Source organism: Homo sapiens, chromosome 8 (assembly GCF_000001405.40).
Source record: "Homo sapiens chromosome 8, GRCh38.p14 Primary Assembly".
NCBI lineage: Eukaryota > Metazoa > Chordata > Mammalia > Primates > Hominidae > Homo > Homo sapiens.
The window spans coordinates 59,593,359-59,620,445 of record NC_000008.11 but is presented as its reverse complement, the minus strand read 5'-3'; the positions used below and the strand labels follow the sequence as shown (position 1 = coordinate 59,620,445).

The following is a 27,087-nucleotide window of genomic DNA, read 5'->3' as shown; positions in this document are numbered from 1 at the left end:
CTTAAAAGAAAAAAAATGAGTTTGTTGGTGTAAATCTACTCTGTCACATATTTTGAATGGGATGATAGAAGATCTTATCACTGGCTCTGTTTGGTCAGGGTCAGCCAGGAGCTTGGGCTAACTCAACATGAAGGTACAGAGAGGTGTGGGGTGAGGAGAAAACTTCCCCTTTGCCCTTCGAAGGTTCGCTAAAAAAAAATCAAGTGACAAAGGACAGATTAATAGGAGAAAAGGCATACAAATTTATTTGATCATAGTTTTAAAAGAGACTTCAGAATAAAGACCCAAAGATACAGGGAAAACAATCCATTTTTACACTGACATTCAATGATGTATGGACAGCCATGTAAAATACAACTGGACAGAAGGGGTATGATCGAATGCTTAAAGACTGAGTGGGGAAACCCAGCAAGGACTGTCCAGCTTCTTGGCGTCTCTGTGCAGCCTTCCTCCCTCTCAGGCATGCAATAGGACTCTCTGGAATGAAGGTCTTAATTTCTTTATGGCCAACTGTTACACAAAAAGGCGGGGTTCCTGGAGGGGGAGATGTTAAAGCAATATTTTGAGGCTTTATGGTGGACTTTGGGGGAAAGGGGTTCTGGTTTCTATGACCCACCTTGGGGAAGAGGAATTTTAGTTTCTATCTTGCCTCAGTGGAGAAGGAAGGGAGAGAGGATGGGAGGGTAGGAGAAGGTCAGAGACTTTACTTTTGGGGCTGCTTCTGAGGACTTCACTTTGGGGTACTGTTTTCTGAGCCCCAACGGGGGTATTGAGTTCACTTTACAAAGTGCTTTGCTCTCTTTGTGACTGCATTCAGCTTCTGACTTCTGTGAATTTATACACTTCAAAAGAAAAACAAGATTTGGAATCAAAAGAAAATCAATTGGGTAATAAACATTGTTATTTTCTTACCATCCTGTTTTTGTTTGTTGAAGAAGTTGAAATTTCTGGGAAAACCGGCCTATAGCAATGCAAAATAATCACGAAATAATCACAAAGCTACCTGTAATATGTGATACAAAATTACCTTGTCTGAAGAGGAAATCTTTTAATACTAGCAACTTTCTGTGAAATTTATTTTAAAAGTCCCTGCGATGAGGTAAATATCATAAAGATGCAAACTAAGGTTGTAGAATATACCCAATCAGACTCTCAAGATCCTTGATGTCCCCTTTTTCCAAAGAGTACAAAAGGTTTTAGAGGTCCAAAAGGTCTAAACTCTGATAGTTTAATTAGAATGACTTTAAGCCATCTTCCTTTCAAGGATACCTATATATGTTCTTCTGCATTTATACATAAAGCCAATGATTTCAGTGCAGTCTTTGATAGGGCATAAGATTACAGCACTGACCCTCTGTTTAAATACAGTAGCCACTTTTTGTCTACGGTGCTGAGTATTATTCCAAGTTACTTAAGTTCTACTTTGAAATGTGGAAATAAGGGAAGAGAGAGTCCTTTCCATTTCCCATATATTTATAATGCTGAGAGACAGTATTTGTAATTTGCCCCCAGTAGTAGAGGCAGGTGTCAAAACCAAACCATGTCAGCAAATGGACATGACCCAAACTACTTTCTTCTGATTTGAACACTCTTACCAGAAACTAATATAATTAGATTCAAAAGCATCTCTCAAACCCTAAAAGAAGGTATTTATATGCTTATTGATCTTAAGGCAACAGAATATACACAAGCAATACATACTTCAAAGGCATTTTGCTACTTGTGTTATATTGTATGTAAATATATTATTAATAATGCCATTGGATAGGATAAAATGAAGCTTATTTTATGAAGAAGTATGTTCCAGGTTTAGAATCTATCCTTTTTATGTGGCCTTGATCTACACAGCCATCCACAGAAACTTTCCAGCGTGTTTAGCTAAATTCTCCCAGTTATAAGTTACTCTCTAACAGTAACTTGGGCACTTTCAAAGGCTCATTACATCTTTCTGGGCCCTGGGGTATCACTAAAGAAACTGCGACAATAATTTGCTAAATGGTATCCTCGGGACTTTAAAAAGTTCTTGTTCCTTACAAAAGGACTAACTGACTCTCAAAAAAAAAATTACTTCCTACCAGGATATGGCTAAGACCCTTTGTTTATTGTTCCAAGGAGGATTTAAGGGGGTTAAATCAATTATTTGCTTTAGAAACACTCTGTGATCTAAAAACAACTACTATATTTTTTTATTATCAGAGTAAAAAAAAATGCACTAACCTGACTGTTCTCTACCCACTAGTAAGTCTGCCCGTGGGGAGAATTGTCTATTTAAATGGTATGAGGAGCTTGGTCTGCCTTTAATTCCAAATTGGCTGCCCTGGAAATACATCAGCTGTTTCTTTAAGGCCCAGAGAAGTTTTATAAACATTGCTCTAAGTTTAAGTGAAACTAGAACTATCTTCAAACTCTTAAATGACATAATCTAAATAAACTAAACTAACATCTCTAAAGGAATTTCCATTACAGTAATGGAAGAAGAGATGAAACGCAACGTTAAAAGTTATGTGATCTTGCTTCAGTGTTCTTTCAGTGTTTGTATTTGTTAATTTGCCTCCTCTACCATCTTGTACTGTTTTTCAACCAAATAAAGTATAGAATCAAGCTCATGTGGCTTCACATGCCTAAAAATAACCCCCAGAATACAGTTCCGTGGAACTAGCATTAAAGAAGAACCGGGAGAAAGTTAGACCTAAGAATTAAATCTGGCATTCATGCACAGATCAAAATTAAAATCACAAGGAGAAAAATCAACAAAAGCCCCTAGTATAGCCCTCAACCTCCTACCCTATTCTTGGCATTCTGTACAAAGGGGAGATTGGAATCTAGCCGTGTGTGTAGTTAGTGATATGCACATTCCAAAAATACAGGTTTGGGGAAGTACCAGCATGAAAGAAAAGAATGTCATAAAAACTTGGTGTAGGCAACACCCGCCCCATCCTTACACACATGCATACAGACCCAGGCAAAACAACAGGTAGGTTCTAAAAATAACTTGCCAGATACCACAAAGTTACCTCTAGCAAAATAGCTTATGACTGACTCATAGGACACTCATGACTTTAGTATAAGTACAGGATTTTACAAAGCCACAAGTGGTATTATTATCCCAATTTACAGATTAGTAAAGTGAAACTCACAAAGAGCAAAAAACTTGCTGAGTCACAGAGCTAGTAAATGGTAGAAGCAAGATCAAGGATTCCTGTTTTAGCTCATTCCAGATCCCACGTTAATTCTACCATATTGTGACATCTAGAGAAGAGTCCATTTACTTTAGAGTAGTAAGTATTACTCAGGCTCTGCAATCTCCTACTTTTGTAAGCATAAGTTACCAAGGCTTCCCAGGTCCTAAAAGCAGAAACATTATCAAATAAGTGCATAAAACACTGAACCAAATGTGTTATTCCTATAGGACTATTTAGAGCCCTTAGTATAGAAATGTGCTCTGTGAATCTCCAAAATGTGGGCAAGAGAAGCTTTGGTTTTCCTCTGAAGGACATTTTATAGGACTCATGTTCCAAGAAATACATTTCAGGTTTGTGTCTGCAAAATCTTGCTGGCCTGGAAAAGTCAGTTTCTTTACAGTGGATTTGTATATCTCTGTTCTCATCTATTTTATGGTGATTTAAAATTTAATTCTCAGAGGTCAATATACATCCCTTATGTCCAAAAACCATGAGAAGACTCATTCTTCTCCCCTGTAGCCTACAAGTATTGAAACTATTTATGGAAACCTGAAGTGTGAGAGCAGAAAACTTCACAGTTCCTTCCCTCTCCCCTGAGAATAGTGAAGTTATTTTTAGCACTTCGTCTAGAGTTGTGGACCTAGGGTCAACGCAGAGGAAGACCTTCTATTGTTTTTTCACACTTCTGTCCTCTGATTTCTCCCTCTGCTGCTCAATTGTGTTTTCTCTATTTAGTCTTCATACATTGCTATTTTCTTTTCTTCCTCCCGCACTTTTAAAGCATGTATCTGAATTTGATACAGAAGTGAGGAACATGTGTACTTCTGAAGAGTTTTTTGCCAGGCTGTAGGACACACTGATACTCCATTGAGAGCACTGGCCTAGAAAAAATGTAATCTTTCAATAAATTCTCCGTATACAAACAGTGAAAGCATTCACCAGTGTTGTTTGGAGCTGCAATGCAGTGGGGCTGGGTGTGATGTGGCTTTGGGGTGACTATGGGCTAGTTACTGACTTATCTATGCCTTGCTTTTCTCATCTTTAAAACAAGGATATAGATAGAATTACCTACCTCATCAGGTTATTTCATGTATTAAATACATAAAATGTACTAAAACAATGTCTGGAACACGGTAATTACACAGTAAACGTAGCTGTTGTTTGTATAATGCTACATTTATGAAGCTCTATTCCACAGGAACAGCTGTGACCAAAATTAGAGCAAGGTCTACTATGGTTCTCCTGCCCCAGTCACTTGGCAAGGGCTTCCTCATCCTGGAAGAAGCCCTTCCTCCTGACTGGGGCAGAAGGAGAACCATAGTAACCAGTGTCGTTCACATTGTAAGATGGACTGGAGGGTCAATCTGGGCACGTATTCAGTAGAAGCGTATGGTGTCATTCAAAGAAGCTGAGGGTTGAAAAACTGTGGCCTGTAAAACTGACTCCTACCTTGAAGATTAGGTGGGAGATCTCACTGCATCTTGTTAAGAAATTAAGTAATTAAGAAAATCATTCTTGAAAGCATTTGTTTGTATTAGTGCATTTTTCCCTTAGGTTAAATTTGTACAAAGGGGCTATAGGAGAGATGGAATTCAAACTCATATTTTAAGACTTAGGTTCATATTAAATTTTTTTCCACCAAAAAAAATTGCCAGTTCTTGCTCCTATCAACAGTGTACATGAATGCCTATTTTCTTAGCACCTTGACCACACCAGGCTTCTTGTATTTTCAAACATTTTCTATTTGATAAATAAAAATGTAACTATTAACTTTGTTTGTTTTGAATCACCAGTCAGGTTGAACATCTGTACATTGTCTACTGAATATTTGCATTTCTTTGTAAATTGTCTGTTCATAGCATTTGTTAATTTTATAATTATCTACTCTTTTTTTCTTTCCTGAAAACTATTCTTATTTGGTTGGAAAAGCATTGTATGTTTTCTTCTGATTTTATGGTTTCCTATTTTTTAAATTTATATATTTCATATTTTATTTTTGTGTTATATTTCCCAATTATTTTAAAGATAAGCATAAAAAAGTGTGATCCTCTGCCTTTAATGGAAATACATCTAGATTTAATTCTATATAGATTATTGATATAAAATATACTATTTAATATAGTAAGGAAGTATAATCTAATAAGATAGTTTACTAAAGTAAACTATTAAAATGATTAATTATATTTGTAGATTTCTTTTTTCCCCTTTTTTTGTAGATGTCTTAATATAATGTATCCCTGCACTCATCATAAACTCTACTTAGTCATAACTCATTATTACATGTTCTTTAACATGGTGATGGATTCAATTTTCTATTTCATTTTTGTGAATATTTTCATAAGTGTAATTGGCCTGCAATGATCTAACATCGTACTGAAAGTTCTAATAAATAAGAAATAGGAATTATAAATATTTATGTTTGTTTGGTTTTACATATCTATCTCTGGACATACACACACTAGAAACCATCAGAAAGCTGAAAAAGCAATTTCAGTTCAGCATCTTTTAAAAATAATCCTATGACAAGACTTTTCTTTTAAAGTAGCAACATAGTAATGTTCCATTAAACTTTTTCTCAATCTTAGTTGGTTTTTTAGAATTAAAGTAATGCATTTTAATATGAAATCATCCATTTCATTAATACTTTCTTATTTATTAGGATAGAGTTTTATATATTTATCTTATAATTATCTACTAATTCATATTTTTCTACATCTGTGTTTGTTTTCTGTTACTTATATAACACATTTACCTTATCTGTTTAGTTTTCGTAGTTTTCAAACAATGTGCTTTGCTTTAGGATTTATTAATCAGTTAGTCTCTTATATTCTAAATCATTAATTTTTTACCACTTATACTAATTGCTTTCTTTTTTAATATTTCAATTTATTTTATTAATTCCTTTCTAATATACAAACTGACTCAGTATTTTTTTCTTCGTTATCTAAATACTAAAAAGCTTAATATTAAGATTTTTAAGGGTACTTTCCTACTAGTACATACGTTTCTCTTAGGATTTTAATATGGACTCTTCCCACTACTGTTACTTTCTGATAGTCTTTACATCCAAGTGGTTAGAACATTTTTAATTTTTTGTTATTAACTTTATATATAATTTATTTCCTCATTGAATATTTCCTGTAATTTTTCCTTTGGAGAATTTCTCCTTTGTTGGGAATCTATTTTATTTTTATTTTTAAATTGCCAACTTTACTGAAACCAAGAACATGTTAGTATACACACACATATACATACATGTACGTGTGTTTGTATATATATCAACATATGTACACATATACATCCTTTATATATAATCTCATAATTATATTATTCAGATTATCTAAAATTATTTAAAATTTTCCTTTTTCTGTCAAACACTGAGAAACACCCATTGCATTTTTTGCTCCTTATATTTTCACTAGTGTTTTGCTATATATATTTTAATATTATGTTATTTATCTCAGGCAATAACTACAGATCTTATCTCCTTTAATCAGGAAAATTGCTCTCTTTATTCTGGTAAATGCGTTTGGCCTAAAATTCCACTTTGTTTCATGTTAATATAACCCAAATGACCCCAGACTTCATTAGCCTGTGGGTACTAAAGATGCTCCATTAATATTAATATCCTAATTTGCTAGCTCATTAACCCCTACCTGTATAACAGTGGGACCTTGACCTCTACTTAGGAAGTCCCTAGGCAGTATCTGACATGTACTATGGAATCAGTAATCTACTCTTCATCTCTACTGACTGCTCTTTGAAGACAGACTCCGGCTCCTGTTAACTTTTGCTGCTGCTGCTGCTGCTGCTGCTACGTATAACTGCCTCCAAGCCACAGAGACAGTCAATCCTCCTGGTGCATAACAGTGCGAAGTGTCTTCTGTGAATGCAGAGAGAAAATCTCTTAGAGGGGTTCCCCCGTGAAGTTGCTTCATTGGGGAATCAGTGAGACCCTTAGTTGTGTTAACATTCAGCCCTTCTTTTTCCCAAGACACATATCTGTTGAGAGAAATTTGAGTAACAATTGCTTAATTCAATACAAACATTCCTCTTTAACTCCTGGCCGGATGTTAATTCTGATCATCATGCTAAATAATCTCTTTCCACAGATGACTATTCTCTCAAGGTCCAACCTCCTTAAAATTTGCATTCATTTGGAATACCTTCTCTTACATTTTGAAAGATAAGACTCTAAAATAAAGTTTTTGTTTTTAAGAGTGCCCTTTACTGTGCTAGGCATATTATGAGTTATCTTATTTAAATACCATAACAACTGTATGACATAGGAGCTCTTATTCTCATTTCACAAATATGAAAAGTGAATATAGTGAGGTTAAGTAACTTGCCCACATTGAAAGATTTAGCTACTACCTTAGCCACAAGTCTTCCATACTGCTACTTGCTACTTCTTCAATCTTTTATTTTATTCATCTTTCTGGTGGCTGAAAAATATCATCAAATGCATTTTTCATGAAAAGTATTTTAGGTCATTTACTTCCTGACTATTTAAATAGAGGCATTATATAATGTCTTTACTGTGACTATATTTATGATTGACAATACGTGGGTCATGATTTCTCTCATAAACTAGCATATAGCATAATGTGTAAAACTATAGCATATAATTTTACTGCATAGGCAACTACAGAACATAGAAAGTATAGCATTTTTGTGTAAAAATGTAGAAAGATGATCACTAGGGTCATTTCCTTAAAATGGAGAATTCTGGCAGGAGTGTGTATAATTCTCATGCAGATGGTTTGTGGCCACATCTGGAAAACCACTGTATGATGTTGACATTACTGATTGGCATCAAAAGACAGTTCAAGTCTCTACTCTCATAATCACTAGTTTGAAGACACTAAGCATATTAACTTCTCTGAGCCTGAGTTTACTCATCTGTAGAATGTGACTAATGATAATGTCTATAACTTACAGTTGTTTTGAGGATTAAATAAAATAATGCCTGTAAATACATAGCCCAATTCTGAAAAAAATTAAGTGATAAATGTTTGTTATTTTTAGAATAAATATTATTATAGTTGCTATGCCGCTATCTACCTTTACATGCTGTAAAAATAATAATATATTCCCCATTTTTTCTTTAAATGTTTTTCTAACTTTTTTTCTATTTGGATGTAAAGTATACCTTCATCTTTAATTTTTTTAAAAAAGTACATATTTAAATGTGTTTTTGTTCTCTTTATTAATTTTTCTGGTTCATAATATCCTCATTGATGCTACTGTTTAGTTCAAGAAAGTTTTTATTCTATTTTGTTTTTTAATAATTTTTCTGTTCTGAGAATTAATTTTTGTAACTATTTTTGGAAAGCTTCAAAAGTATGTAAATTACATTGTTAATTTGAAGGCAATGTTGATTCTATTTTTTTATCATTTCTAGTCCCATTTAAATTATCTTGTAGTGTTATTAATTTCTCCAATTCTTTCAATTTATCTGTATGTCTTCCAAATATTCAATCTATTGTCTCACTTTTCTTTTTTCTTTGATAAAATTGACATTTTCTTGAATTTATTTAGGATTTCAAAACAGCACGAATCTAAAATTTATGTTTCTCATAGCAAATATCTTGCGCTGGAGGGAATAAAGAGATAGATCATACTTGGAGTTATGGAAGTATGACTTATAGCTTTTCCACTTAGAGGCCTAAGAAAGTGATGAAATCTAGAAGAGCAGTTAGGCACATGGTAGAGATGCACATTTTGAATTTACTGAGTTTTAGTTATACTTGAGAAATCCAAATGGAGCTGCCTAACAAAGCACTGGATATTCATGTCTGGATTTCAAATAAATTTTATCTAGAGATGAGTATTTCAGATACTACTGTACACTTGATAATTGGAGCAAGGGAAATCACCCAGAGAGGAGCTACAGAGGGACATGAGACATGGCTCACAGTGGAACACTGGAGAATAACCTTGTTTCAAGGATGAGTTGAAGGATGAAGAATGTCCACCCGACTATGAAAAGAGTAAAGAGAGGGAAGAACATAGCAGAGAAGACTGAAAGAGAACCAATATGACAAATGCAGCAGAGGCCAAATAGTATGAGAAATTGGAGACCACTGGATTTGCAAAACAAAATGTGGAAGAATAGACATGGATGCAACATTATAATAAGAAAGGTAGAAAGAGATCAGCTATGAGTTTAGGCTATGCCTTCAATAAATTTTCTACATAGAGAAGAAGAGAGACAAAAATGAGATAGATCCAGTGTTCATTCTCATTGAAGGTCAGGGGCCAGTTGAAACAAAGAGGCTGGAAATACAGGTAGAATGAGAATAATTAGTGGAAAGAAGTTCAAAGGATATGAGAAAGAATGGGGATAAAGTGCAGGTGAAGATGGGTGTTATTCCTGGATAGAGGACACTTCTGAGACTGGACAGAAGAGAGAAGTACGTGTGTGGACTCAACAGATTTTTTGGGGAGGAGAGGCAGAATGTTAGAAATGTCTGTGTAAGAGTGTGTCAGAGGATTGAAAGAAAATTATAGAAATGTTGTATTAATTTCAGTGAAGGTGCTGGCATTAAAGAATGTCAAAGTGATTTGCGTGTCCCTATCAGATTGACAATAGTAAATTCTTAAAACCACCAATTTACACAGTTGTGTTGCTTTTTTTCTAAAAGCATTTTACATCTTGGATACACTGGCAAGTATTTTCAGGAATCATGTGCCAGAGAAGAGGGAAAGGAACTGGATCAGTACAAAAGGGAGCCCAAAGTCTTGACTAACTGGGATCTAAGCTAGAGAGGTATACTAGACACCTGACATATCTATGGTGCTCTTCAGGAAAAATGCAGCTGTGGATTCCCATGCTTCATGTTGGGCCAGCACTATCATCCAGACACCCATTGGGTCAGTCAGGAATGGGTACCCAAAGGCAACCAACTATGTGTAGAGCTGTGAAATGTACCTAGCATGAAAGCTCATCCCAAAAGTGGTGCCTTAGCTTGTTGCAACATAATTAATCCACTTTCGCTGCAAGATGTACATGATGTAGTAGGAATATGCATTAAAAAACAACACATGAATTACAGTATATGGCTATAAGATAAAACTTAACAAAAAGAAAAGCAAAACAAAACAAAACATGAGGAGCGAGTTGGCTGGAAACTACAAAGAAAATGAGAAATATAAGAGAAAGAGTAAGTTAAAAATTTTTTAAAAATTCACCAAGAGTAGCTAAGTCCTGAGTACCAAAAATGGTAGTTCTTAACTACATCTAGTAGACTATTAAATGGAATTTTAAGTTGATACTTTTTTCATAATACTTTGTAAGATTCTGGAGAATAAGGACCATATCATATTACATATTATATGCATAAAACATAGCAATTTTTTATTCTACTTTGTTTATTAGCAGAAGTACAGCAACATAAAATAATGTAGTATTATTTCTTACATAGTAGAGTCAATAATTAACACCAGGATTCGGGGTGGGAGATTCACTTACTTTGTCTTTTGAGGCAGAATTTCGCTGGCTTTATCACCCAGGCTGTAGTGCAGAGGTGCAATCTCAGCTCACTGCAACCTCTAACTTCTGAGTTCAAGCGGTTCTCATACCTCAGCCTCCTGAGTAGCTGGGACTACAGGCGTGTGCCACCACACCTGGCTAATTTTTTGTATTTTTGTAGAGATGGGATTTTGCAATGTTGGCCAGGTTGGTCTTGAACTCCTGAATTCAAGTGATCCACCTGCCTCGGCCTCCCAAAGTGCTGGGATTACAGGCATGAGGTACCACACCTGGCTAATTTTTTATATTTTTAGTAGAGATGGGCTGTCTCCATGTTGGCCAGGCTAGTCTGGAACTCTTGACCTCAACTGATCTGCCTGCTTCGGCTTCCCAAAGTGCTGGGATTACAGTTGTGAGCCACTGTGCCTGGCCTGCCTCACTTACTTTCTAAAAGAAATATAGACTTGGAGACATTTTAGTTCTTTACATACGGGCATTAACATTCAAAAGCTGATACTAACTGGCTAAGATATTGTTTTAAGTTTTATCAAAATTCTTTCTCAAACAATCCTGTTTACAAAAGAAAAATTAGTATGACCAATGTGGGTTATCTCTGATGTCTTAAATATCTACTGCAGTGTAGTGGGCTTGAGATCTGGCAGTTGATAGAGGCAATCAACTCCCATTGCAGACTCTTTAAAAATAATAATAAAAGTAATAATATCAACGTAGTTGACTCGAGCAACATGAGGGTGGGGATGCTGACCCACCCCATGCAATTAAAAATCCACATACAAACTTTGACTCCCCACAAATCTTAATAGTCTACTGTTGACCTAAAGATTTGCCAACACAAACAGTTGATTCACATATATCTAATATGTTATATGCAAGGTACATATTATACTGTATTTTCATAATAAAGTAAGCTAGATAAATATAAATATTTATATAAATTATATTTATATTTTTAAATTATATAAGTCTATATAAATTATATAATATTTATATTTATCTAGCTTACTTAATTATATATGTTATACTGTATTCTCATAATAAAGTGCGCTAGAGGAAAGAAAATATTAAGAAAATTATAAGAAAGACAAAATATATTTACAATTCATTATGTGGAAATGTATCTTAAAGGTCTTAATCCTCATTGTTTTCACACTGAGTAGGCTGAGGAGGAGGTAGAAAAGGAAGGGTTGTCTTGCTGTCTCAGGAGTGGCAGAGGAAGACATAGAGGAGGTAAAAGCTGAGGCAGGAGAGGCAAGCACATTTGGTGTAACTTCACGGAAATGTAGTATAATTTCGGTCTGATATTTTTGCTTTTTCATTTCTCCAAAAATATTTCCACATAGTATCAATCCTTCTTCCATCATTTTAGTTTCAGTACCAATGTCATCCAAGATTTCTTGTCATAAGTCAATAGCAGTCTTTAATAATCAGAACTTTTCTGCCAGATTGTCTAATGTCAGTTCGCTTCTGTCTTCCTCATAATCTGGCACTAGTTTGGAAGCACTCATCTCTGTCAAGTTGTTTTCTGTTAATTACTCTGGTGTGGTGTCTATTAGCTCTTGAATTTCTTGAAGAGTCACATCATGAAACTCTTCACCACCATTGCCACCATCTTTTTTTTGTCATATCCATAAATCTCTCTCATTATTTTATTCATTGACTGTTGTAAATCCTGTAGAAGTCATGTACAATGTGTGGACACAGTTTTCTCCAGCGGGAATTTATTGTTTGGGGCTTGATGGCTTTTATGGCTTTTTCCATAACAATTCTGGCATCTTCAATAGTGTGATCCTTCCAGACTTTCATGATGTTATCTCATCAGACTGCTCTTCCATAGCATTGGCAATCCTTTCCATATAATATTATGTGTAGGTCTGGATTAGAAATGTTGTGTTTCAACACAAGTAGACCACTTAATGCTGTCAGTGTTGAACTCATGGGATTCTGGGTGAGTAGGGGCATTATCCAATTTCCAAAAATTTTAAAAAGCAGTCACTTATTGGAAAGGTACTTCCTGACTTTAGGGGCAAAGCATACATGGAACCAATCCAGAAAAAGTGTTCTCATTTTTCACCCCTCTGATTATACAACCAAAATACTAGCAGCTGGTGTTAGTCTTTCCTTTCATGGCTAGGGAGTTGATGGCTTTATAGATAAGGGCCATCCTGATCATAAACCTGACTGCATTTGCCTTCCCAAAAAATAGAGTTAGGATATATTTTTAGAGTTAGGCTCTTTCCTGCCTTATATTGTGCTCTGTTCTCTTCCTTGCTATTAAATGTGCTTTGTGGCTATTCTTTTTTCTAGAATGGGGCATTTTTGTCTATAGTGAAAGCCTGTTCAGACCAGGTGCAGTGGCTCGTGCCTGCAATCCCAGCACTTTAGGAGGCCAAGGCGGGGTGGATCACAAGGTCAGGAGTTTGAGACCAGCCTGGCCAATATGGTGAAACCGCATCTCTACTAAAAATACAAAAGTTAGCCAGGTGTGGTGGCGGGCACCTGTAGTCCCAGCTACTCAGGAGGCTGAGGCAGGAGAATTGCTTGAACCCGGGAGGCAGAGGTTGCAATGAGCCAAGATCGCACCACTGCACTCCAGCCTGGGCAACAGAGTGAGACTCTGTTTCAAAAAAAAAAAAAAAGAAAAAAAGAAAAAGAAAAAAGCCTGTTTAGGCCAATGTCCTTTCTTTTCAGTGATTTTCTTATGGCACCTGGGAACTCATCTGCTACCTTGTGGTTGCCAGAAGCTACTTCTCCTGTGATCTTGACATGTTTTAAGCCAAATGATCAAACCATCCTTTGCTGGCATTAGATTATCCAGCTTTAGATTCTTCACCTTCCTTTTGCTTTAAGTTGTCATATAATGACTTCACTTTTTCTCAAATCATATTAGTCTAGAGATGCTTTTCTTACAGCAATTCTGCACTCACATAAAAACTGCATTTTCAATACAAGATAAAAAGATATTTCACAAAAAGTACAAGCATTTTGCACCTACTGGCATAGCTACAGGGACAGCTTCACAAGGCTCCTTTTATTTTTTACAATGGCCCTTAGGCTAGATTCATTTATCTTGACATGGCAAGCAACTGCAATTGCAGATCTAAACCTACAATACACATCAAGCAATTCAACTTTTTCTTTTCTGACTTTTCTCCGATTTTTGGGAGCACTTCCAGCATCACTGGTGACACTTCATGTAGGTCGCATAGTACGATTCAAGGTTTACAGTATTACACTAAACACTATGAAAAATACACAAGAACCAAGAGAGATCACTTTTTACCACAATAGGCAATTTACTGGAGAGACAAACTGCTCATGGGAAGATGATTATGTCACATAGGCATTTTAAGTAGATACTTGCAACACTTGAGCTCACTGCAACAGCAACAAGGGGTTTCTACATAATTGCATTAGTACAGAATGTACAACAGTTAATTTTATGCAGTTATAATTTAATACTGCATCTTTACATTTGTTTACATTTCTCTCTACTGTGAACAGCACCATGTATGATGTGTAAGTATTTGTGTACATAAGTTATGATAAGTTCTTACTTTTTATAATAGATTTGTGTATATTTTACGGTAGTGAAAATGTATGTAGGCTCATATCTACATATATTTTATACATTCATGACATAACTTTTTCTTAACTTGTTGTTGTATTTTTAGTCTATATGATTCATCACAGGATTTTTCAAGTTATCAAAAATCTCCAAAAAATTTCCAACATATTTATTGAAAAAGTCATGTATAAGTGGACCTGTGTGGTTCAAATCCATGTTGTTCAAGGGTCAGCTGTACTACAATAAAAACAGTCACTGAATAAAAGCTCCTGTAATTTGGTCTAGCACATTGGTAAAATTGTATTATATGCAATGTGGGTATAATAGTACTTGCCATATAAGGTTGTTGTAATTATCATAGACTATATATAGTGAGTACTATATCCTTACCAGAGAGTAGGAAACTGAAGTTTAGAGATGTTTTATGACTTGTCTGAGTTCTTACAATTACCTAAGTGTTATCCCATGGATTTTTAATGTAAACATTCACCTTCTTCCCTCTCTTCTTACACTATCTGTCACACATGACTTATGGCTCAACAAATAGTAGGGACTTAGTTATCTGGAAATAGGTATCTCTATTCTTAAAAGTGCCAATGTGATATTTATGGTCCATTTCTAGGGGCATAATCATAGCATTGTAAGGGAAAGATAATTATCATTTTTAAATTATCCATGCTATATATACTAAAACTCTAAGACCAAAGATATTGACCAGCCCTTTAATATTTGGGAGTAATGTAGTAATATGTATGTCCAATACAAGGCAAATAAAATGAGAGTGATTAGCTTATATACAAAAGTTTTAAATTTTTCATCAATGTATGCTTTTATAAATTTATTTTTGGTGAATTGTATTTATCATATTTTAAAATAGTTTGAATGTTTGAAATGTGTATTTATTCCTATTTAGATTAGAACACCATTTAATTTGTTGATACTGGTTACATATACTATATATTTTGTAAAAAACAATTTTATTACAGATGAACATCATGAGAAAATTATATTTTGCAGGAACACTTTAAGACAATTATAGCTTAATTTTGCATCTCTAGAATGATGAATAGCAAAACTATCCCCTCCCCTTTTGCCAATAACATTCTAAAGTCAGAAGGGACCAGGAGATTAGAATATAAATTCTAATATTTCTTGCTACAGTAAAATTTTAATGTCATTACAAAAGAATAACATTCAGCCCTCTGGTAATTATTAAATTAAGTCCTAAATGTTTTATAACATGTATGAACTTAGAATAGAATCTGTGGTATGAGAAAAACCTGGAAGGATATCTATTCTAACACTGCCTCAGCACCACAACCATTATCTGATAAAGGGATTGACCAATTTTCAGTTGAATGTGTCCAAGTTGATAAAATTCTCTACCTATTATGACATCCTATTCCAAGAATGTTCAGTTCTAATTCTTAGAAAGTACTTCTTTGAACTGAATTCTCCAAAAGTTATATTTGTCTGTCCTAGTTCTACCCTCTGTGGTTAAACTAGCAAGCTATAATCATTTTTCCATATGGAAGTACTTTTTCTATTTGAAGAGTTTTCAAATCTCTTTGGATAATCTTATCCCAGATCCTTCAACTATTTCTCTTGATTTTGAGAACTTCACCGTCTTGATCACTTTCTGTGGAAAAGCTCTGCTTACTGAACAACTCTGAATGAGGGAAAGTAAGATAGTATTATTTCTCACTCTTCTTAGGCTTTTATTCAAAAGATCTTTAGGGTGAATAGATTTTACATCTACCATATTGACTATTTTAGAGCAAATTCAAAAGTGCATGACATGCAGTGATAGGTAATTTTTCCAATTGAAAATTTTGAATTGCACAGGTTGTAAGGCTGCTGTACAGATGCAAATCAGCTAAGGGGTAAGAAGAGGGCACAAGGAAACCTAAATAGTCAGCATCCACAACCCTGTGTAGGTTTTTGATTCTATAATCCTCAGCATGCATACATAAGGTGACTTTTGTTATTGTGTGTGTGTGTGTCAGTGTAAAGTGATCACAAAAATAAATAACTGCTAGTGTTGTGAAAGAAATAAAGTAACACTAAAAAATCTAAGAAGGTCATGAAAATAACCACAAAAAATATTTTGATAATTCACTACTTAAATTAACCTGATATATGACATAAGTGAGTCCACTATATACGCTCTACATAAATTTTTGAAAGGCAATTAATAAAAATGTCAGTGATTTCCCTACCAGTGTACATTCTCTCTGTTAGTGATGAATAACAATTCATTAATAGGCAATTAACTGCTGGGCTGATGATATCCCAACAAATGCAGGACTCCATGCTGAAATGTGATTTGAGAAAGTGTCAAGATTTTAAACGTTTATACCTATAGAAACTCATGGGTTCAATACGGTCTCAAGATATGTCCTTCACAAATATCAAAGATCTACAGGATTTCATATAAAGTAAACTAACATGATATCAGAAACCTGCAATCATACACACACTGTTAACTGAAAATAAAGAATGTAGGTTACAGCATTGCAAAAAGCCTCAACATTGGAACCATGTAGGAGTCTGGAAAATGAGTACCCAAAGATATTAGGTCAGAATATATAAACTCTTACAACTCAATAATAAAAAGAGAAATAACCCAACTTAAAAATGGCCAAGGGATAAAAACAGACATTTCTCCAAGAAAGATGTTCAAATGACCAAGAAGCACATGAAAAAATTCTTGATATCATTAGTCATCAAACAATTGCAAATGAAAACTACCATGAAGTAGCACTTCACATACACTAATAGGGCTAGAATCAAAAAGCCAGGTAATGAGTGCTGGCAAGGATGTGGAGAAACAGAAACCCTCATACACTGACCCTGCTAGTGTGAATGTAAAGTGGTACCATTACTTTGGGAAACAGTCTGGCAGTTGTTCAAATGATTAAATACACAGTTACCATGTGACCCAGCAATTCCACTCTCAGGTATATACCAAAATAAGTGAAAACATATGTCCACACAGAACCTTGTACATGAATGTTCATAGCAGCATTAATCCTAATAGTCAAAAGGTAGAAGCACTCTAAATGTTCAACTGGTGGATGAATAAACAAAACATGGCATATTCATACAATGGAATATTATGCAGCCATGAAAAGAAATGGAATGCTGATAGTGCTACAACTTGGATGAACCTTGAAAACGTTATGCTACATGAAAGAAGTTAGTTACAAAGGCCACATATTGTATGATCTCACTCATGTGAATAAAGAAACCTATCGGGCAGAAAATAGGTAAGTGTTTGCTTAGGGTTATGGTGGTGAGAACTAGGGATAAGGGGCTTTTAGCTAAATCATATGGGGTTTCGTTTTGAGGTAGTGAAGATGTTCTAAAATTGACTGTGGTGATGGTAGCACTTATCTGATATTATACTAAAAATAATTGAATTTTATACTTTAATTGGGAGAACTATATGGTATGGCAATAGTATCACAACAAAGTTGGAAAAAAAAAGATTGGGGTCCAGCTCTATGTGCTGAGAGGAAAAGACCCCCAAGGTGCATTGTTAAGGGTTTTATTTTTTATTTATTTATTTATTTATTTATTTATTTATTTATTTATTTTTTTGAGACAGAGTCTCGCTCTGTCAGCCAGGCTGGAGTGCAGTGGCACAGTCTTGGTTCAGTGCAACCTGCGTCTCCCAGGCTCAAGCAATTCTCCTGCCTCAGCCTCCCGAGTAGCTGAGATTATAGGCGTGTGCCACCACGTCCGGCTAATCTTTGTATTTTTAGTAGAGACGGGGTTTCACCATGTTGGCCAGGCTGGTCTCAAACTGCTGACCTCAGGTAATCTGCCTGCCTCGGCCTCCCAAAGTGTTGGGATTACAGGCGTGAGCCACTGCGCCTGGCTGCACTATGTTTAAAAATAGTAGTTCAAATGAAGGAAATCAGTAGTGCTGATTCCAAACCCCACTAACAAATGCAATGGTGTTTTAGATAGAGGAGCTGAAGGGTTATTCTGGTGGGAGAAATTTCTCCTTTATCTTCATTTCCTTGCTCAAGTTAACAAATATTAACCACATATGAGGTCCCATAAACTATAGACGGGAATTCAGGTGAGGGCCACACAGCAGTCTTCCCTTTCTGTGAGAGCATGACACCATTCCCTTCTGGCAACAAGTAAGGCTGACGAGAACTCTGTTGCCCATTTGAGTATTCTTTTGTATAAAATCTTTTATTTTGTTGTTTTTTTCCTTACAGGAAACTTATAGAATCTGCTCTTTATCCTTGGGAATCTGAAATTTCACAAAAATACTTCTGAGAATGGATTTTGTTTTTTATTCTGTTTAACTATCTAGCAGCCTTTTAATCCAAAGGACTTTATCTCGCTTCTTTTATGCATCTCTCAATTCCCTTCTTACTCAACTTTGCCTCAAAACACTCAATTTCTTTTGATATTTTCAATCTGCATGTTTGTGTTTAAAATCTGAAGATAGCGTCACTCATAGCTCTGGACACTACCATAATTTTTTAAATTCCTGGCAGTTATATTCTTTTAATTTTTAAAAACTTTTTCTTATTCTATGATCTTTCCTTTTTGTCATAGAAGTCTGTTTCTATTTTATGGCTATAAACTTCTTTGACTCTTTGGGTACATGATGACTATATCAATTGGCATATTTTACTTTAAAATATGACACGCGGAAGCTTGCAGGTGCAAGCAGGAGCACCTCAAAACAGAATAAGAAGGTCTGTACTCTGGTAGGTTCAACTCACCAGATTCCTAGCTATTTCTAGGCAGATTGGTTCATATATTTTAGGGATGCTTCTCCAGTTTTCATCTCATGTTACAAATTTCAAGCTCGCACTCATGCTACATTTATGGGGCCGTGGTGGGGCTGACACGTCGTGAGGGTTCTCCAATTATTACGCCACTCTTTTGCTTCACTGGGAAGTGCTCCTTTTGAGTCCTTGCTGACGCTATGCGGCGCCTCTTCCTGGAGCCCCCAGAAAATTGCCCCAGATATGGCTTTTTAAACAGAGTCTCTGTTATTCTGGCTTGTAGTTATTTCTGCTTTGTCTCCCTTGTCACCACACACATCTGCTTTTTGTCTGCCAGAATTGTATTAATAGCCTTAGTTCACTGTTGGCCCTTACTCCTATTATCTTGCTATTATGGGTTTATTCACTTTTGTATACATTTATTTTCATTCTAGTGATATTTTTTAAGAGCCAGGAGGCATATAAATGTTCTCAGGCCACCATCTTGAACCAAGAGGTATCAGAACCAAGAAAAGTGTTAAATGGTATGTATTTTTACAAACTAAATCCGTGAATACTAAAGCCATACCCAGAAGAGAAACAATGGAGTGAAGGAGATAATACCTTCTGGAAGAGGCTTATTTTTAATAAAGTTGGCAAGAAAACCAAGAGCATGGTTTGGTCAAAACCACAACCACAAACCAGATGAAGCCATGGGATGTTGTAAGGTATAAAGGGACACTATATCATATAAAAAGGACGGGTCTATAGGGGAAAAGTGTTAAAAAGAAAAAAAAAAGGACCCCTGTGATGTGGGTTTTTGAGTGCTAAATGTTTGATAACACAGATAACAATGAGGCTCTGTGTATTATTGAAAAGGAGTTTGACAGGAGGAATGCAATGTTTGGAGAATATTATCATACCAGTTGTATAAGCAATAGACTTGATCAAAGGCAGACTGGAGCAAGGGAGAGTGCACGTGAGTTTGTTGATGTAGTCCAGAAGAAAGGGTCTAGGAAACTAACAGAGGATTGTAGCTGTGGGAACAGAGAGACGAGATGAGCAGCTTCACACTATGTCCTGCTGCTGCTTGACTTAGCTCCATTTAGTACATTTTACTTCCAAAAGGCAAACAACAAAACAACAGCAACAACAAAAACATGACAAAATGTCAGTATTTGTGAAATCAGAGTTGGGGATGAAATAGGTAGCTGTTATGTTATTTTTCTATTTTTCTATACTTAAAAATATGTAATACAATAAAATCAAGGGAAAGAAATGAAGGGGAGGCATACGAATTTTAATTGATAAGTGTTATACCTACAAAAGTACAGTATGATTTAAATCCCAACTCTACAACTTGTTGATAAAACTGACCATTAACTTAACCTCTCTGAGTCACAGATACCTCATCTTTAAAATGAGGTAAGAGTGCCAACTCCATAGAATTTTGGGGAAAATAAGATAATGCATGGAAAACCAAGTTTGCCTATTACCATTATATAAGCCTTGCAATTTTTAAAGAAATATGGAATCTTACAAATAAATGAGACATAACTCAATCTTTGCAAGCTGTTTTTTAAAGATCAATAGTATTTTGCCATGATAATTTGTGTTAGTAAAAAATAGAACTAAGGAAACTATATTAGCTAAAACAATTCTAATTTTAAAAACTACTCACTGAATCTTGATTCTTATGCATGTTAAACAAAAACATAGTCATTTGACCATGACTAAGTTTCCTTATTAATTTAACAAATACAATTTAATTATAGGATACATTACAGTTTTACATTTTATGTACTTCCAAGTGATCTAAAATTATTGTTTCTAAATTTTCCCATATATATAGTCACTAGCATATGTTGTCTACATGGCTAATTCTGTCTGTAACATACTGCTATGAGACTTCCTTATATTACACATTAGTTTTGAGGACACAATTTCCTTCTGGAGTTGAAAGGCTCTGAAGCAAAACCAAGAGTACCAAAGTTATTCAAAGGTACAAGATGATAACCATAAAAATACAACACTACTTGTTGTGATTAATTTTCATAATATTATTTCAGTTTCTGGTTTATGTCGAGGAAATACAGTATCCCCAGAATGTAACATCTCACTCCTGTTCATTCTTTGCTCATATGAATGACAATTTAGAACAATTAACTAAATAGACCTTATTTAGCCTTGTTTCATGGTTAAGGAAAGCTTTTTGGTTGTTACTATTCTCTATGTTAAGTTGAAGGAAAGAAATAAATTAGCTAGGAAATAAGTAAATTTTCTTTCTACTGAGAGCGTAGTATTATCATGAAGAGTTACCAAACCAAAACTTTACATGGGCTAACAATTAAGCATTATAGTTGAAAAAATTCAGGAATTCTTCCCCTTTGGTTAATTCAAAATAATCCTCAAGATTTGTCAGAGACTCACAATCATAATTACAGTCATCAAGTACAATATCACTGTTAAATTTAGTGGCAAAAGAGAGTTTTGGATTTTAAAAATATCATTTGACTGACAGTATTGTATTTACCATAGTTTTCTATTAAAAACTTTAGAATTGCTCCACGGGTCCAGACGTTAAGAGGTACATGGAGATAGTTGAAATGTAAAGAAGAAACAAAAAGGGAATCAGGAGGGAACCAAGGCTGCATCATTGCAATGCTGTGGCTCCAACACCATCAAAGTGGTTCGTCATAGTCAACAAATGTAGCATTTTTGACTCTCTTAAATCATCCCTATGTTCATCAAGGTTAACCCTCAGAATGTTGAAATTATACTGAACGTTTATAATTTATTCAAAAAATATTTCCAGCATGAAAAATTAAATCTCAACCATAGCTATGATATGGGGAAAACATGTATTTTTGTGTATAACAATGAGACGAAATTTTGGTGCTGCAGAATTCTTTCTCTTGGAGTCTTCTAACCTCTCTGAAAACTGTGGCATACTTAATTATAACATAGAGATAATCATACCTACTTCCCAAAGTTTGAACGAAAAAAAAATTCATGATTTGTGATACTATTGATAGAGACAGGAGACAGTCAATGTTCCCCTGGAAACCTCACCTTCATGCCTAAAACAGCCTGAAGGCTGAAAGACTGGACTGCTGGTCCCAGGAAACAGGCAACTCAGAGGGAGAACTGCCCCTGTTTGGCCACCGTTTCCGGACTGATTCTTTCTGAATAATGCCCACATGCACACTGGGGGAACATGGTGGAGTCACGAGCAGTTCGTACCTTGTGCAGTGGGGAGGAGCCTGGCTTCTTCAGCTCATGAGTGTGGTGGCCTAGTATTCAATCTATGAGGTGGGAGCCTATTAGCAGGACCTCTTCTTTTTTCACTGAGAGCTTTCTTTTAATAAATTCCTCTCTCCTCACCTTTCAACGTGTCTGTGTGCCTAATCTTTCCTGGTTGTGTGACAAGAACCCAGTTTTAGGTGAACTAAGGAGCAGAAATTGTGCATCACTATTTTATATAGAATAGTTTAGAATAAATTAATGAGGGCCAAGTCATTTGTCCATAGACTAACAAAATTAAATATTTTCAAAGAGAAAGAACTTTTACAAGGAAATTATAGGAAATGCTCTGACATAACTAGATTTTATTTTCCTGATTCTTGCAACTCATACACATGAATGTCAATAGAGACTAGTCAATAAGGTCATTTCTTTTAAGAAAGTTTTAAAACTGCGAATGGGGTATTTGTGTGTAAGTATGAATTGAGCATTTGTTAGTGAAATCGGTTTGCATCATATAGATTGCTTAGGGGCAGGACGTGATCTTGATGGATAGTAAGGCTGCCTGGTACCGCCTCTGTGTTACATAGCAGAGAAACAAAACAGTGCTTTTTCTGAGGTGCTAGATCTCAGTTGATGTTGCTGTCTTTTGCTTATCACAGTCTGTTGCTAATCATTATGCAATTTATTTTGATTTGGTGCCTTTTTGCTATCTTATTTCAATTTTATGCTCCATCATGAAAATGGGTGATAAACATACAATGAATTTGTATAAGAATCACTGGGCTAATCCTTGTGTTCTGGTGATTGATTGCAATTTAGCAAATACTGAATTTGCTAATCAAATGGTAGATTATCTCAGTGATATTTAGGTTTTTATACGCTTACAACTTTTAAAAACAGTTATTATTAAACATTCTTGGAGGAAAAATAACTTTTATTGCAGATTTGCTGGTCTCTAGTCCAACTCACATGTTTTTTCATTAAAATTTCTTTTATGGCTCAAATTTTTAATAACTTGAGATTTCTCAACTTCAACTCTTGAGTTATACCAGAGCAAACTCTGTCCAGCAGTAGTATATGGCATGTGAATTAACTCCACTGACTACATCCTTCTAATGAAACATTTTTACACAAACACCATGCTTTCACACTCACACAAACCTGTATGCCCCCACAATAGCTTAACTGCTTGTTCTCTTCTAAATAAAGGAACAACTTTAAAAAGAACTTTATGAAAAACAACTTAATGTAAATTCTGTACAGAGCTTATGATGGAGAGCTGCTTCTCAACATTTCTCATCCAAAAGGCAGTGGTATCATATCAGAGTGAATGCCAATAGGGCTATAAAATGGTTTCCACCTGTCATTAATTTTACCCTGGCCAGTTTGCAAACCAGTGCTGGTCCTATGGAACTTGCAGGAACCTTTCATATCCTGATGCATAATTTAAATATTAATAGCAATTTATCTTTTATGATGAAATATTGCGACTTATTCCTACCCATAATCTTTTTCTGGTCATTTTCTGATCATGCTGCTCTTTCACAAATAAGTAGATCAAAATAATGACAACACAAATGTGCATTTTTTTCATTATCTTTTTACTTGATGCATACTTTGGGAAATATGTGTGATTATTTCTGTCTCACAATTAAGCATGCCACAGTATGCAGAGAGGTTAGAAGACTTCCAGAGAAAGAATTTTGTAGCATCAAAATATCCTCTCATTGCCATACACAAAAATCCATATTTTCCTCAGATCATAGCAGTGGTTGTGATTTAATTGCTGGAAATATGTTTAGAATAAGTTATAAATGTCTAAAATGACATAAACATTCTGAGAATTAACCTTGATGAATATAGTGATGATCTGTGGGAGTCATAGACACTAAATTTGTAGAGTATGACGAAACACTTTGATGATGTTGGAACCACAAAAATGCAATAATGCAGCCTTGGCCAACTCTTAATTCCTCCCTCCATTTAAAAAAATTTCTGTTTGTTTCTATTCTAACTAACTCCATCTAGCTCTTAACATCTGGACCCATGGAGCAATTAAGTTAAATTACTGGTTTTAGTCGCAAATGAAACGAGCAGGGTTTAAATATTTTCAACTGCTCTCAGAAATCACAAAATTATATTTAAAAAGAACCATCTTCCCATTGATACAAAATTGTTGAAAATATACTTTTATTTTTCCTGTCACTATCTGTTTAAAACAGGAAGCTCACATACACTCGGATTATTTCTCTTTCCAAAATTCATATGCAATAATAACATGAATATGCTAAATCCCTCCATTTATCTTTGGATAGATGCTTGGAATTAGTTTTCTAATATCTTTAGACACACAAGATCAAGTGGAAAGGAAAGGAAAAAGAGATTAACTCTTAACTGAGTGCATGTACCACAGACACTATACTACTTAACATTCACTATTTTATTTAATCTTTAAAGCTATTTTTTTGGAAAAGATGTTAATATTCCCGTTTTTATAGATGAAGAACATTGAGTGTAGGTTGGCTAAGTTATTGGTCCAAATTGTCAGAGTGGTGAATTGTGGTTTTGAACAGGACTATATTAAAAGTCCGTGCTTTTCTACCTTATAACATTGAGATATAATGGTTAAGGGAATAAGACTGGCATTTTCTTTTTTTCCATTACACTAGCTTTTAAGATAACTTTAAAAAAATAATCATTTTTAATACTTGGCAAATATGTTAGAAAGCATCTCTGACTTTTGACAAAATTTAAACTGTTAATTCCAGAGCTGGTACTTGTCAGATAACAAAAGTTTTTTTCCACTTAACATTAAATTCATTAATAATACCACAAAATTACTTCTGCCTAAAACCTCATAAAACAGGAACTAATCAAAGCAAACACACTTAACAGCTAATGATGATTTTAATTTAGCTGTAAATGCCTCAAAGGCTAGTAATTAGAGAGCAGTTCTACGCTTTTTGTTTTGCAAAAATAAATTATTGCTGCACGTTTTGCCACAATTTTCTCTATTTAATTTTGCTAAAACAGTGTTTCCTTTACAAAATTTTAAAATAGATCTAATGGCTAGATGACTTAAATCACCATATTACAATAAATTTTGTTTAAAATAATGTCTCCTGAAGATGTTTTGAACAATAAAACTGGACACAAATGTGTTATAAAAGAACAACAAAAAGAGCCAAGAAAATAAACTCTTCACAGCCCTTGATTGCATGGTACTACTCACTTTAGATTTAATGAAAGGTTATTTGTTTAGCCATAAAGATGTGAGTCATATATCCTGATGATAGTGTGGCTCTAAACAATGAAGCTTGATCTAAGATTACATATTTTCTCCAAATGGATGTGATTATCTGTATTTTCTCTTTAGCATTTAAATCTATAGCTTCAAAATTGCAAACCTAAATTCAAGGTCAATTATATTAAGTTAGCCTCTCTTATTTATTTATTTATTTATTTATTTATTTATTTATTTATTTATTTTTGAGACGGAGTCTCACTCTGTCACCCAGGCTGGAGTGCAGTGGGCAACCTCGACTCATTGCAACCTCTGCCTCCTGAGTTCAAGCGGTTCTCTGGCCTCAGCCTCCTGAGTAGCGGAGACCAATGGCGCATGCCATCACACCCAGCTAATTTTTGCATTTTTGGTAGAGATGGGGTTTCACCATATTGACCAGGCTAATCTTGAACTCCTGACCTCAAGCAATCTGCCCACCTCGGCCTCCCAAAGTGTCGGGATTACAGGCGTGAGCCACTGCACCCGGCCTGTCCTCTCATATTTATCCATGGCTGATCCATAGGTTTCAACAGAAGGGGTTGGGGCGGGGAATTTGTCTTCCTAAATGAGAACCCTGAATGTAGAATTGCAAATAGTGCCAACATTATTCATGAAGACAAAGCTAGTTTTCAGGAGAATGACCACTAAAGAGTAAGGAAATCTGCCATAAATTTAAACACCAGAAAAAGGAAATGCATAGGATCTAATTCTGAATTATTTATTTGTGTGATGTATTTATCTATTGCTATCCTAATACAGTAGCTCCCCCCTTATTCATAGGGGATAGGTTCCAACCCCCTCCAGTGGATGCTTGAAACCATAGACAGCACCAAACCTGATTGCCATCAATCCATACACGTTTCTGTTCAGGTCTTCCACTTACAAATTTAGTACTTTTTCCAACTTAACTAACTGCTTGACAAGCATTGGGCTGTAACTTTTGCATTTTGAGGTGCAAAAACTAGCACAAATTTATTTTTCCTTCTTCATGATTTCACAGATAGTTTCATTCTTACCATAGATCTTAGCGACCTCAGTATACAATTTTTTTTCTTTTCTTATTAAGTGGAGAACTTTCACCTTTTTACTTGAAGGAAACACTTTACTGTTTCTCTTTGGCATAGCTTAATCGCCAGCAACACTACTCTTGTACTTTGGGACTTTTATTAGATAAAGTAACTGTTCCTTGAACACAAGCACTGCCATACCAGAAAGTCGATGTGATCGCAGAAAGGGCGGCTAAGTGACTCACAGGTGAAAAGCTGTTACAGCGTGGATCTGCTGGACAAAGGGAAGATTCATGTCCTGAGAGGGACGGAACCTGACGGCCCAAGATTTCATCACACTACTCAGAACTGCAGGCAAGTTAAAACTTACGCATTGTTTATTTCTGGAATTTTCCGTTTAGTATTTTCGGCACAGGGTTGATGGCAGGTAACAAACCATGGAAACTGAAACTGTGGATAAAGGGTGACTACCGTACCACACTGATGTGATGAACATATAGTGCGTTCCAATATCTGGTAAGTAAGTCCGCTCTCAATTTTTTTATCTTCATAACTTTATTATCTTTTCTAAGA

General features: G+C 35.1%; 2 long non-coding RNA genes across 6 annotated transcripts, besides 1 other annotated feature; one reads left to right on the top strand and one right to left on the bottom strand.

Annotated features, from left to right (window-relative positions):
- Positions 1-223: 223 nt before the first annotated feature.
- Positions 224-20,381, bottom strand: LOC105375859 (uncharacterized). 4 transcript variants are annotated; one of them, XR_007060916.1, is made up of 5 exons: positions 18,994-20,381; positions 7,557-7,627; positions 6,839-7,184; positions 617-842; positions 248-534 (listed from the first exon to the last, which is right to left on the bottom strand). It is a non-coding gene; the product is annotated as an uncharacterized LOC105375859 (long non-coding RNA). The 4 variants fall into 4 exon arrangements; XR_007060917.1 differs by having other exon boundaries at positions 708-842; XR_928929.3 differs by lacking the exon at positions 7,557-7,627 and having other exon boundaries at positions 224-534; positions 6,839-7,065.
- Positions 2,988-3,047: a silencer, noted in NCBI's record as "silent region_19223". NCBI's record gives its function as "represses an Ori minimal core promoter by ATAC-STARR-seq in GM12878 lymphoblastoid cells {active_cell/tissue: GM12878}" and the evidence as "EXISTENCE:reporter gene assay evidence [ECO:0000049][PMID:35858748]".
- LOC105375860 (uncharacterized) lies at positions 17,258-27,087 on the top strand. Of its 2 annotated transcripts, none has more exons than XR_928931.3 (3): positions 17,258-17,511; positions 19,434-19,523; positions 26,678-27,087. It is a non-coding gene; the product is annotated as an uncharacterized LOC105375860 (long non-coding RNA). The 2 variants fall into 2 exon arrangements; XR_928930.3 differs by having other exon boundaries at positions 26,632-27,087.